The sequence below is a fragment of the Homo sapiens genome, chromosome 4 (assembly GCF_000001405.40).
Source record: "Homo sapiens chromosome 4, GRCh38.p14 Primary Assembly".
Lineage (NCBI taxonomy): Eukaryota > Metazoa > Chordata > Mammalia > Primates > Hominidae > Homo > Homo sapiens.
Window position 1 is genome coordinate 78,391,251 of NC_000004.12, and position 14,761 is coordinate 78,406,011.

The 14,761-nt window shown below is 35.9% G+C and overlaps 1 protein-coding gene across 2 annotated transcripts in view; it reads left to right on the top strand.

Moving 5' to 3' along the window:
* FRAS1 (Fraser extracellular matrix complex subunit 1) overlaps positions 1–14,761 on the top strand; it is a 486,947-nt gene that overhangs the window by 333,928 nt on the left and 138,258 nt on the right. For both annotated transcript variants that reach the window (NM_025074.7, NM_001166133.2), the window contains exon 30: positions 9,484–9,637. In NM_025074.7, the coding sequence (NP_079350.5) occupies positions 9,484–9,637 (154 nt within the window). The remainder of the gene's footprint in view (positions 1–9,483; positions 9,638–14,761) is intronic.

Below are 14,761 nucleotides of genomic sequence, written 5' to 3' on the forward strand. Positions count from 1 at the left end.
TGATAGTGAATAAACTTGACTGCCACCTCCAGCCTTATACTGAGTTGCTGAGGAGAAAATATAACCAGGACTGATGTTGAAACATGTTCTGTTGGGGGAAGGAGGCAAAAGAATTAAAACAGATTAAAAGGTAATAAAGAATGCGTTGCTGAACAGGCTTTCATTAATTGGGGGGATTACTAAACCCAAGCCTGCTGCAGATATGATTCTAAAGCAATTTGACATTTAATGAGGGCTAAAATGTGGACAGGGGAAAATCATACTTACTGGTGGGCTTCTGTCTACTACTGGGGTTTCAAGGAATTGTCTTCTTTTTCATTAATTAAGATACCTCTGGAAATCATGCCTTTTTTTTCCACTCTGGCAATACATCTGATGATCTTTCTGAACTTCTTTGTTACTCTTTGAGCAGTATTTTCTGCAACTGGGTAATCCTTTAATGTCAAAAGTCCCCAAGTGTCATGCTAGGAACTGGATGGAAAATTCTATTGCTGAGAGTCCTCTCTGGCTGTTTATCTGTAGTAAGGCCTGTGTACAGATAAATAGCCCTGTGGTGTTTTCCCTCAATTTCATTAATGCCTACCTCTCATTGGTTGTCTTTCAGGGACACAGTTGGTTTGATAATAGTGACATTTATGAGAGTTACAAATATCAATGGCATAAAATGTCTATTTCTTATGAGTAAGAGCCTATATCATAAATAACTAAATCCTTGCCATATATGAGGGTTTCACCTTTTGGGGGGGTTTGATTAGCTTGTTCAATTCAGTATCTCATAAGGTGCATAATCAGAAAATGTTTCCTTAAATATACATATACTGGTTGAAATCTACATGGAGCAAGGGTTCTATATTCTTGACCTGAAAGCAAGCTTCTGGGGCTCATATACACATTGACAAACACAGAAACAGTCCAATTATCTTTCCTGCTTTCTTTATGCTGGTAAATTTCACCACACCACCCCACATGATTTTTTCCACAGTGTCCTATGAGATTAAATTTTAATAGCTATGATATAAATGAGATCTTGCAAATTAAGGTATATTTTTACAGAACAAGTAAAATTATAAGGTCACTGTTACATTCAACATTAGTCATTTTCTATTTAGTGAGGTTTAAAACTTTTATCTTGAATATTTTGGCCTGGGGTTAGAGTACATTATCATTTCAGCTAACGTTTCTTCATTTATGACTCAACCTTTAATTTTGGGGGGAAGTTTTCATTGTGTTTGTGAGATTTTTTTTCTCCAAAAGATGGAGGCTTATGGCATTATTTCTGGTTTGTAACATTAATATTTTTATTTGTAATATGATATGGAATGGCTAAGCTTTATTACCATTTCTGCATGCCTATTGTTCTATGAAATGAATTAGAAGAACTATTTAATTTAAAGCGCTGTTTTAATCATGCCCCCAGTTTTACTTTTTGGGATTTTATTGCCTGCTAATGTGGTCCTCTGGAGGATCTATAAAACATTACTGGGCATTCAGTTGGTAATATAACTAATTTCTTGAACTGGCAGGGATATATACATCATGTACAGAAAAAAAAATATGAGGAGATAAAAAAATTCAAAATGTCAGAACCATTGGGGAAATTAGGTTAAAATTAGGCTTTTTGGACACCTTAAATGTAGAAAAGATGATATATACCCTTCTATCCATCTCTTCTTGAATCTTCCCTGGATCCTCTCCAAAAGAAAACAATAAGAAACAAACATGTTCATCATGATGAGTGGGAAGATTCATGCTTCTTCCTTTTTTTTTTTTTTTAAAAAAAACCCTACTTTATTGAGGAATGATTGACATGTAAAAAGCCGTACATATTTAATGTATACAACTTGAGTTTGAGGATAAGTATATAGGCATGGAAGCATCACCACTATCCAGGTCTTTGACATTTTCCTAACCTCATAAAGTTTTCTCCTGCTTTGTTTACTAATTTTATGTATTTATTTACTTATTTTTTGTGGTAACATAAGCTCTACTATCTTAGCACATTTTAAATATACTATATTGTATTGATAGTCATAGGCACTATGCTATATAGTAGGTCTTCAGGACTTACTTATCCTTTGTGTATCTACTGCAGGTTTTTCTTCATGATTACCATAAGGGTTACATAAAATATCTTATAATAGTCTATTTTAACTGAAAGTTACGTTTTGACCATCCATCTCCCCGTTTCCCCTTTCTCCCAGCCCCTTGCAACTGCCATTCTACTATCTGCTTTTATGAGTTTGGCTATTTCAGATTCCACATATAAGCAAGATCATGTAGTTACTGTCTTTCTGTGTCTGGCTTATTTTGCCTGGCATAATGTCTTCCAGTTTCTTCCATATTGTTGCAAATAGCAGGATTTCCTTCACTTTTAAGGCTGAATAATATTCCACTATATGTTCATTTATCCATTGATTGACACTTAGGTTGATTCTGTATCTTGTCTATTGTGAATAATACTACAATGAACGTGGAAGTGCAGATAGCTCTTCAACATGCTGATTTCATTTACTTTGGATGTATATCCAGAAGTGTGATTGCTGATCATATGGTAGTTTGTTTTTAAGTTTTTGAGGAGCCTTCATAGTAGCTGTAACAATTTACTTTCCTCCCACCAATGTACCAGGATTCCCTTTTCTCCAAATCCTCTCTAACATTTACCTTTTTTTTAGCCATCCTGACAAGTGTGAGGTAGTTTTGCTTTGCCTTTTTCTCATGATTATGTATGCTTTTCATATACCTGTTAGGCATTTATATGCCTTCTTTGGAGAAATACCTATTTAGGTTTTTTCCCCATTTTTAAATTATTTGAATTTTTTTGCTTTTGAGTTGTAGGAGTTTCTTATATATTGTGAATATTAACCTCTTATGAGATATTGGTTTTGCAATTATTTTCTCCCATTCCATAGGTTGCCTTTTCATTTTGTTGATTATTTCCCTTGCTGTGCAGATGCTTTTTGGTTTGACATAATCCTGCTTGTTTATTTTTGCTTTTATTTCCCGTGATTTCAATGCCATATCCAAAAAATAGTTGCCAAGACCTATATCAAGGAGAATTTCCCCTATGTTTTCTTCTAGGTCTTTCACAGTTTCAGGTCTTCTGTTTAAGTCTTTAACCCATTTTGAGTTGATTTTTGTGTATGATGTAATTTCATCCCTTTGCATGGGATATCTAATTATCCCAACACTATTTATTGAAGAGACTATTCTTTTCTCCTTTCCTTATTTTATATTCTTTGCACTCTTGTTGAAGAATAGTTGGTCATAAATGTGTTTATTTATTTCTGGGCTCCTTATTCTGTTCCACTGGTCTATGTATTTGTTCTTATTCCAGAACTGTAATGTTTTAATTACTATAACTTTGTAATGTAATTTGGAATTAGAAAGTGTGAGGCCACCAGCTTTGTTCTTGCTCAAGATTGCTTTGGCTATTTGGGGATTTTTGTGGTTCCATATGAATTTTAGGATTTGTTTTTCTGTTTCTGTGTAAAATGCCATTGGAATTTTGACAGAGATGGCATGAAATCTGTGGATTGCTTTGGGTAGTATGGACATTTTAATAATATTAATTCTTCCAATTTATAAACATGGGATATCTTTGCATTTATTTGTGTCTTATTCAATTTCTTTCACCAATATTTTATAGCTTTCATTGGCATATCTTTCACCTTCTTGGTTAAATTTATTTCTAATTATTTTATTCTTTTGATGCTATTATAAATAAGATTGCTTTCTTTAATTTGTTTTTCAAAGAGTTTATTGCTAGTATATGGAAACACATATTGCATGTCGGTTTTATTTTACTGAATTTGTTTATTAGTCCTAACAGTCTTTTGGTGGAATCTTTAGGGTTTTCTACATATAAGATCATGGTGTCTGTAAATACAGACAATTTAACTTCTTCCTTTCCAATTTGGATACATTTTGTTTCTTTCTGTTGCCTAATTGCTCTGGCTGGGATGGCCAAAGAAGATACTTGATATGATTTCAGTGTTCTTAAATTGTTAAGACATCTTTTGTGGCTTAACATTTGTTCTAACCTGGAGAATGTTCCATATGTGCTGGAGAAGAATATGAATTCTGCTGCTGTTATATGTAATATTCTATATACGTCTGTTATGTCCATTTGTTCCATAGTGTTATTCAAGTCCTCGATTTCTTTATTGATTTTCTATCTGGATGATCTCTTTATTGTTAAAAGTGGGGTATTGAAGTCCACTACCATTATTGCAATGCTTTTTATTTCTCCCTTCAGTTCTGTTAACATTTGCTTGATGTATCTAGGTGTGCTAATGTTATGTGCATATATATTTACAATTATTATATCTGCTAGATGGATTAACCTCTCATTATATAATATCTTCTTTGTCTCTTGTGATGTTTTTGACTTCAAAGCTATTTTGCCTGATATAAATATAGGCATCTCTGTTCTCTTTTGGTTTTTATTTGCATGGTATATATTTTTCCATCCTTTCACTTTCAGCCTATATGTCTCCCTAAAGCTAAAGTGAATCTCTTTACAGGCAGTTTATAGTTGGATCATACTTTCTGTCCATTCAGCCACTCTGTGTTTTTTGATTGGAGAATTTAATCCATTTACATTTAATTGTTGATAGGTAAGAACTTACCTATTGCCATTTCGTTGTTTTCTGACTGTTTTGTAGTTCCTGTCTTCCTTTCTGTCTCTCTTGCTGTTTGCCTTTGTGATTTGATGATTTTTTTTTGTAGTGGTATGTTTTTATTTATTTCTCTTTATTTTTTGTGTATCTACTGCAGGTTTGTTCATCATGATTGCCATGAGGGTTACATAAAATATCTTATAATGGTCTATTTTAAGATGACTAACTTATCTCCAATTGCATACAAAACTGTTTACTTCTCCCTGACCCTCATCATTTTATGTTACTGGCATCACAATTTATATCTTTTTATATCATGTATTCATTTAAAGAATTTGTAGTTATAGTAACTTTTAATACATTTTCTTCTAACTTTTACACTAGAGTTAAAACTGACTTACATATCACCATTACAGTGTTATTCTCACTTTGATTATATTCTTAGCTTTTCCAGTGAGTTTTATACTTTAATGTGTTTTCATGTTGCTAATTAATGTCCTTTCATTTCAACTTGAAGAATTTCCTTTAGCATTTCTTGTAAGACAGGACTTTAGTGGTAACAAACTCCCTCAGCCTTTGTCTGGGAAAGGCTTTCTCTCTCCTTCATTTCTGAATGACAGCTTTGCCTGGTAAATTATTCTTGATTGGCAGTTTTTTTCTCTAAGTGTTTCGAATATATCATCTCATTCTGTCAGAAAACAACAAGGTTTCTGCTGAGCAATCCACTGATAGCTTTTTGCCCTTTGCTCTTTCTCTGCTTCATTTGGAATTTCCGTAATAGGTTATACTGGTTTATTTGATGGTGTCCCATAAGTTCGGTAAACTTTGTTCATTCTTTTTTATTTTTGTTGTTATTACTCCTCTGACTGGATAGTTTCAAATGATCTGTCTTTTGAGTTCGTGGATTCATTCTTTTTGATGGAGTTTGCTGTTGAAGTGTTCTATTGAATTTTTCAGTTCAATCATTGTATTCTTCAGCTCTGGAATTTGAGTTGTTCTTTTTAAGATTTCTGTCTTTTGTCAAACCTTTAATTTTGTTTATGTGTGGTTTTCTTGAGTTTGTTTAGTCATCTACTTTTCTTTAAGATTGTTGTGCTTCTTTAAGATGTCCACGGTGCTTCTTTAAGATGATTATTTTGAATTATTTGTCAGGCAGTTCACAAATCTTCATTTCTTTGGGGTCAGCCACTGGAGTTTTATTTTGTTCCTTGGGTGGTATCATGTTTCTTAGTTTCCTTTTCATGTTTCTTGAAGGCTTGCATCACTGTGTTTGCATTTGAAAAAGTGGTTACCTACTCCAGCCTTTATTGCCTGGCTTCAGGAGAGAAAGACCTTTACTAGTCAACCAAACTAAAGATCTGAAGGCTTTCTGAAACTTTCTCTGTATGTGCCTGTTTCACTCCTCTTGTTCCCCCTTCAGGGGCAGTCTTATGATGGTATGTCTTCTCTTGATCCTGCACCATCAAGCAGGGTGCTGAGAGCCTTTATTTTCCTCATGTTAGTTCCCTGAAGTAATCAAGGTTGCGTGCCTTCTACCCAATTCAGCAGAGTCAGGGGACTGTTGATGTGTGTGTTTGCTGTCTGCATGGGCTCATGTGCACCATCCGAAGAGCCTGAATGTACTCTCTTCAGGGGAGTGTGGGGTGCTGGCTATGGGAGGGGGTGCATGGAGTCATGGGGTACTTGTTAGCTAGTGTGTGTATCTGCAGGTGAGGTATCTTACAGAATTTGTGAGCAAGGCTCTTGGTGGAGCCCATTAGCCAGTTAGTATGATCTGCAGCTGTTTTTTGAGATCCACACAATGGTTACTGTAAGCCTCTGCTTCTCTTCCCTGTTCCTTACTGTCCCTAGACAGCTGTGAAGACATATTAATCCCTTCAGTGTTCTGGATGGAGTGAGACAGAAATGGATCTCTTAGGCAGCATCCCACAAGGCTGGGGAAGCTGGGCACTCACTTCAATCTTACTTTCCTCTGTAGGAGAAATTATGGGCTGAAGTGGTCTCTCTTGGCCTTGAGTTGTGCGTACTTGGAGGAGAGTATTAGGGTAAAATGAAACTGTGTTTCTTACCCTCTTCAATGCATCTATTGTTGATTTTTTTTTTCTTTTACTCCACTGGGGTACTGGAAACTTTCAGCTAGACCCCAGGCTTCTGTGAAGGTATTGTCATCTGCAGATGGTTGTGAAAATTAGTGTTCTGTACAGGTTTTAGAGCTGGAATCTCTTATTCTGCCATCTTGCTTATGTCCAAGAATTATACTTCTTTTTCTTAGTGTTATCTGTTTCTCCTTATATACTGCAAAAAAATCATTCAGAAATGGAGGCATATGTATTACCCTGTTATAGACATAAATATTCTAAAAGGCTCAGCTGTGAACCTTCAGGAGACCCACTCTAGAACCATTTTGACCTCTACCTTGGACCATGCTTTTCATGCGTTAGTATGTCTGCACAGCTTCTGGGATCTTTCCAAAGTACAGATTCTGATTCAGAAAGTCTGTGGTGGGACCTGAGAATCTGAACATCTTAATGAGCTTCCAGGTGCTGCTAGTCTCTGCACATTGAGTCACAAGGTGTATTGTCTAAAAAGTTACACTCACACAGGAATTATAGAGAATTGTGTTGATAAGTACAGCCAAGATGGAGATATAGTGGGCAAGCCATCTGGGAACATGCATTCATGTCACACTGCCTACTTGCTTAGAATCTGAAAAAACCACATTGCCTACTCAGTCTAATAAAGTGGTTGTTGGCATATGACTGGTCTCCATAACCAAAATCAAAGTTCAGTAGGCTGCTGCTATTAGAAAGATTTCTAACAGTTAAGAAACCTGGGCCGGGCATGGTGGCTCACGCCTGTAATCGCAACACTTTGGGAGGCCGAGGCAGGCAGATCACAAGGTCAGGAGTTCGAGACCAGCCTGGCCAACATGGTGAAACCCAGTCTTTACTAAAAATACAAAAATTAGCCAGGCATGGTGGTAGGCACCTATAATCCCAGCTACTCAGGAGGCTGAATCAGGGGAATTGTTTGAACCTGAGAGGCGGAGGTTGTGGTGAGCCAAGTTCGTGCAATTGCACTCCAGCCTGGGCAGCAAGAGCAAAATTCTGTCTCAAAAAAAAAACCTGGGCCCAAGTATATCATGGTATACAAGACTGCTGGAGTTAATAGAGCCTTTTCCCTCAGAATTCTGGTGATTATATATAAAGTTTTTTTTACACGTTTTTGATGTTTTATAAATAATATGCTATGTCAATTGAGAAAGGAGAATATTCTCTGGGATTTTGCCCTGAGCACCAATCAGGTTAGAAAGTGCCGTTGCTGCTGTTCTCATGGGCACTGTTTGACTCAGCTTCCTGGTGTATATATGATGACAGTAGCCATCACTGACTCCTGAGAGGTGAGATGCTCAAGGGCCAAGTGAGCAAAAGAATAGATGTTGTTTTCTTTTCAGAGTATTCTTCTCCTGGGAGTGGTGTTTGCTCTGTTCCATTTATTGGCATATTTGAAAGTAATAATAATATAGAAAACCATCCCTTCTAAGATGCCCTTTGTTAAAATATCAGACTTGTTAATTTTTGAAGTTTGAAAACTGAACACTGGCAGCCTCCCTAGTCTCCTTCTGTGGAAAATGTCAATTATGAGGCTTTGGAAGAGGGTTTGTGCCTTGCAAAGCAGGAATGGCAGCACTTTTAATGATATTAGCTTTAGTAATTAAAATGATTGCCTTCTCAGGAGTGCTGAATAGGTGATTCCTTCCAGCCAGCTACTCCTAACTGTTGTTGCTTCACTTTCAATCGGCCATCAGGTCCTGTCAGTTCTGCTTCTGTGGTGCTTCTAGAATCTATTGCTGTCTACGATGAATTTACCATTGGATTTACCACTGCGATTACCCTCTCATAGGCCCTCATTTTCTCTCCCCTGAGCCATTACAAGGTATCTTCAGCTCTAGATTTATCTCAGTGCTAGTCATTTCCATCTCCTGCCATTGGAGCCTGTCTTTCTAAAACCTAGATCTGATCATCCCATTTTCTTCCCTGGAGACTCGTGTTGACTTTCCAGTGCCTATGAGATGAATTGAGACTTTTAGCATAGCTTCTATCTTCTACTAACCTTCCATAAGACAGTGTCACTTTTTATCCACTCCCCAACCTGGCTCCCTGAGCCCTACTGGCACCAGACACTTGGGCATTTTATGAAATATACAGTGCATTGTCTCACATCTTTGCTTTCACTTAAGCTGGGCCCTCTGTCTGGAATATGTTTCACCATGTCTCTACTTAGAAATCCAATTTTTTTGTTATTCAAAATGAAATTATTTTTCTTAGGAAAATCTTCCCGAGTCTTCCTTCCTCTATTCTCCCACAGCTCCCTGCTCAAGCTTCTTATAGAGCATTAATCGTGAAGCATCCTAATTATTTATGTGTCTGTCTCTCCCACTAGACTGTAAGTTCTGACGTTAAGGTTTTGCTTCAGACATCTTGTATATATCGGGCCTCTAGCAATGGAGCTGGCATATAATAGGTGCTTAATGAATAATTCTTAAATATGGGTGGGTGGAGAGGATAGAAAGACAGGTTGATGGATAGATGAAAGAAAGAAATGGAGAGACTTAGTCTTTCTAAATAAGTTGTTGGTTCATGATAAACTAAAAGAAAAAGCAGGATATATACATATGTAAATATATAGATAAATATGCATGTCTACACATAATACAAAGTCTATAGAGTGACTCTGAAGCTGTGAATCTCTCTGTCTTATTAGACGATCTTTAACAACAACAGAACTGGATAACTTATGTGTTTAAGGATTGATATATTCTTACTTTGCTTGGAACTAATTCTGCATTTTATTTTTATTTCAGAATGACAGGGGTCTTCAGCTTGTGGCTAATTCGATGGTGTGGGTTCCAGAAGGGGGGATGCTGCAGATCACCAACAGAATCTTACAGGCCGAGGCTCCTGGTGCCAGTGCTGAAGAAATCATCTACAAGATTACACAAGACTACCCCCAGTTTGGTAACTATTTTTTCCTTTGGCGTGGTTTCATCGTTGCATTCAGCAGTCTAGGGTTTGCTACTGTATAGTGCCATGTGGCAAGATTGCAATTCCAATGAACTGAGCTTTCTAATACCTTACAAATCCCCTTTAAAAACAGAATAATCATGATAGCTATCACACTCAACACATTTACTAGGTAGTGTACTAAAGTTTATAAACACGTTATATGTAACACCTAAAATTTAAGTTTTAAAACAACTTCATTTTGCAGGTAAAAATACTGGGTAAAGTAGCTTGCTGCAAGTCACTTAACTAATATACGTCAGTTTAATTTCAAAGGTCAGGCTCTCAAACTCTGTATTATATGCCTTTTAGGATATCACTAGACTTCTTCTTAATGAGACTTAAAAAAAATAACATGAAAACATTTTTCAGTGTTCTCCAGTGTTACTTCTACTTCCAGCAAGGTAGTCAAATAAGAAAACCTGAGAAATTTCCCATTATCATCACCCAGAAATGCTGGATAAAATATAACAAGAATTATAAGGTGTTCGTAGCTGACTTCCCAAGGATAGAGAGAAATCTCCAGGTGCCAGCAACAAAGAGGACACTGAAGGCCAGTTATTGCATGAGCTTAATAGCATAGCTTCTCCAAAAGGGGTTGTGAATGTCTCAATAACCCAGGGGCTTGGGATTTAATGTCCATGCGGAGACAGAGCATTGGAATTAAGATGCTGCATAAAGCCAGGACTCTGGAAGGACATGCTTTCAATTAAAGGGACAGAGTAGAAACAAGAAGCTTATCAGCACAGAGACATGGCAGAGAAATCTGCCTCTTTCTTGGAGTCAGAGTAGAAAAAAAAAAAAAGCCTGGTGAAAATTCAGAACTTTAGGCCTATTTTTCCGGTAAATCTCAGGTTAAATTAGACCATGTGTCTTGTCTAAGAAACCTGAAGCTGAGGTATTTTATGAAAATTAATCTCAGACCAATGATATGTCTTGAGTTCTTTATTGAAACTAATAGAAACTACCACAGAAGGCCTACTCTCTGCTAGGCTACGTGGGATTCTCAGAAGAAACCAATGAAGCTCAGAATTTAAAATTATGGAATATGGGAGGAAATAATCTGTAGTACCATAACCAAAACGAGCAAGAAGACTAAAACCCCAAGAATTTCAAATAAAGTAACAGTCTTATAAAAACTGTGAAATAAGCAGATTTAAAATGATTTAAAGACATAAAAGAAGGAATTAAAACTGTGGAAATAGCAACATGATAGAAAAATAAAGGAACAGGTAGATTTTTTAAAATAACTAAATTGATCATGTGAAAATGAAAATTATAGCCATTAAAAGTAAAAACTCACTTGGCATATTAAATAGCAGAGGAAGAATAATCTGTTTTTCCTCTAGGCTGTCAGATTTTTTTAATTATATATTTTCTGTAGGGAGAAAAAAATTAACTTTTATTTAATTTAAAAATAGTTCCAATGTCCACAAAGACATTGAAAAGCCACCTAATCGAGAATTGGTATTATAATTATAAAATGGTCAGTCTAGCTGAGATGTCATTTATTATGGCTATGTAACCTTGAAAATGGCAGGTATAAGGTCTTGTGCCATAGGTTTCTTCGAGAAGTTAGGGTAAACATTAAAAAAATTTAAAAAAACATTTAGACTAAACAGTTGCAAAAACAGAATAAAAGCTCTTGAATACCCTTATCCTCCCCTAATGTTAACGTCTTATAACTATAGAACAATTATTGAAACCAGGAAATTAACACTGATATGATACTATTAATCAATTCACAGGCCTTATTCAAATTTTGCCAGTTTTCCCACCAATGCCCTTTCTATGACCCAATCCAGGATCTCAATTACACTTATTTGCCACGTCTTCTTGGTTTCCTCCAATCTGCGACACACACTTCCTCCGTCTTTGTCTTTTATGACACTGACTCTTTTGAAGAGTGCTGGTCAGATATTTGTAGACTCTCACTCAATTTGTTAGTCTGAGGATGATTTCTCATGATTGGGTTAAGGTTGTGCTTTTCCCCCTTTCTCAGTGCATCATCAGGAGGTACATAATCTCACTGCGTCTTATGACAGGTGATGTTAACTTTGATCACTTGGTTAAAGTGGTGTCTACCAGATTTTTCCACTCTAAAGTTACTATTTTTCCATTTGTAATTAGTAAGTTTCCTGTTCTCATCGTACTTTCAACTACTGATTTTAAGCTAGATATTTTTAAGGTCCTTTTCATCTCTAAAAATCTATGACTCTTTTGATGTATTAAATTCTCTACCTTTATCTTCATCAGTAAAAGACAAAAAATTAAGCCCCCAAATTTCCTAGAAACAACCAATATTCCATTAAGTCTTAAACAAAACAACGCTGAATTAAATGTTTTTTTAAGCAGATAAAATTTTGCCATTTCAGTTTGATAAATATCACGTATGCTTTATTGTGATGCTTTCCTGCTGTAACTCTTTTAATTAACTTCTTCCTATGAACATGATCTTTCCGTGTATCCAGAGCCCCCTATTAGTAATAATCAAATCACGTTACCTAGAAACCATTCAGGAGTGAAATTGGTGGTGGGAACTAAAAGTCCACTTAGCACAAATCTGCTTGCATCTATCAGTCCCAATTACGTAAATTTGTGGAGACTTTACCTTGTACTCCCTCATCACTTAAGAAAGTTCAAGCTGGACTTTGGGCTTTTTGTGAAGAGCTGACGCCTTGAAACAGAACCAAATGTAAATTGCTTGTATAGTATGTGCATGAAGGACCTGAGTTCAACCACTTGCAGACTCACCACCGTTTTCAGATACAGATGTTCCTCAACTTACACCCTGTTAAACTCATCATAAGTTGAAATTATCGTTAATTGAAAATACACTTAAAACACCTAACCTACCGAACATCATAGCTTAGCCTAGCCTACCTTAAATGTGCCCAGAATATTTGCATTAGCCTAGAGTTAGGTAAATCATCTAACATAAAGCATGTTTTATAATTAACTGTTAAATATCTCATGTAACTTATTAACTACTGTACTGAAAGTGAAAAACAATGGTTTTGCACCATTGTAACTTCAAAAAATTATAAGTCAAACCACTGGAACTCAAGGAGTATCTGTATAAATTTAGACAACTTGATTAATACTTGTATCTGTAGCTACTTACTTAGATTTGAAAGTAGATATGATGAGATGGTTTTAATAAATAACTTGAGAATCATTTGAAGGAGAATCTGATTTAACCTAATGCATTGGCAATTCCAAATTATTTATCATAATGTAAGATACGTTCATATGAATGATCTCAATCTCAAAATAATTCATGGAGATTCAAATGATATTCCAATTCTTAATACCTACTAAATCTTCCCTTCAAAATTATAGGTTAAAATATAGACTTCAGTATAAAGGAAATCCCCAGTAGAGATCATTTTCTGTTTTTTAAACTTGGGTTTTCATGTTTAAAATATTATCTTTTTGTTGTCATATTACGATTAAAGCATAGGTGAGGTACTACAAAAAAAAAAAAAAAGAAGAAGGTTAGCTCTCACCCGTCTGCAGAGAATCCCACAATAGGTTGATATTTCTCCTTGTCCACTCATGGACTTGTCACAAAGGCACCTGTATTCAGCATGTCCAGTACTGAACCCTTCATCTTCCCTCCAACCCCCTCCTCCTTCTGTATGATTGATGGCCAGTAGTGGCATCCAGTCATCTATCCCAATAGGTGATTCTCGTTGATGCCTTCCTCTGTCATCCTTCACAGAAACCTTTGTCAAGTTCCATTGCTCCCACTTCCTCAGTTACTCTTGCATCTGTGTTTCTTTACAGTCTCACCTCTGTTGTCTTAGTTCAGGTTCCCATCTCTCCTCTGGATTTGTCAGTAGTCTTATAATTGGTCAAACCATCTATATAAATCTTAGCTACTGTTGTTACCACTTTTATAGAATGAAGTCCAGCCCCTTTAACAGGACCTTCAACTCTTACAGGCTTTCTATATTCTGACCACATGTTGTGTATTCTAAATCGATTCATGTCATTCACCTACTGGAAAACTAACAGTGACTCCCAGTTGCTTATGGGGCTAATCTTTGGGGTAGGAGCTGCATGTGGCCTAGCTTTGAATCCCTCCATTCCTGAAGGGCCTACCACAGTCATTAGTACCTAATGGGTACTCAATGACTATTTATTGAGTTAAAATTAATGGGATTAGCAAATATCTTACGATTCCTGTTAATCTGTATGACATGAAAGTGATTTTTTACATAAAAATTTAGGTTTGTTTCATTAGGGCTTATTAGGAAAATTCTGCTTTGCTTTTTTATCATAAAAGCAGAATAACTAGGAAATCAGCATTTGAATGTTTTCTACTGTCCACATTTTCATTGTGGAAATTTTCTTTCACAATATTTTGCAACTGTACTCACATTCATAAATAGTCCACATCCTAGAAATCTATGTTTATTGACAGCATCTTAGGAATGGAAGTTGAACCAGGGAGAGAAAGGTAATGGAATTTTTTTCTACTTGAGTACAAATAAGTTATAATACAAGAAAGAAAACTACAGTGAGTTGACTCAACATATGATTATATAAAGAGTAGTGTAGTCATGTTTCTCTCTTATTTTGGTATTTCATTACCATCCAGAATATTATACTTGTTCTATACTTGAATTTAGTGCATATAAATATTAGAATGAGTGTCTGCATTGAGTAAGAAAACTAATTTCTCTAGGGTAATCAAATATGCCATCAATTGCCCAATATGTCTAGTGTCTAGTGTATTAAGATTCGAGTATTCTCCTATAGAATATTTTAAAAATTGACACTCTATCTTTCTGTCTCTCTTTCTCTCTCCCTCTTCCTCACCCTCTCCCTCCCACTATCAGAGTGTTAGGGTGGCTTCTTTCAGATTTATTGTTAGATGCATTTTCATGAGAATATAGCTTCTGCTTGCAGCAGTTCATCCATTCTTCTGTTTGGTCTTCAATTGAAGGCATAGTCTCCTGTGAAATTTTAATTGTTTCTATAACACCTCTGTATTTTCAGTCTCACTTTAAGAAGATAGTAGGTGAAGGTCAAGGTGCTTTAGGTGAAGAACAAGCAGTACAAACAGATTGC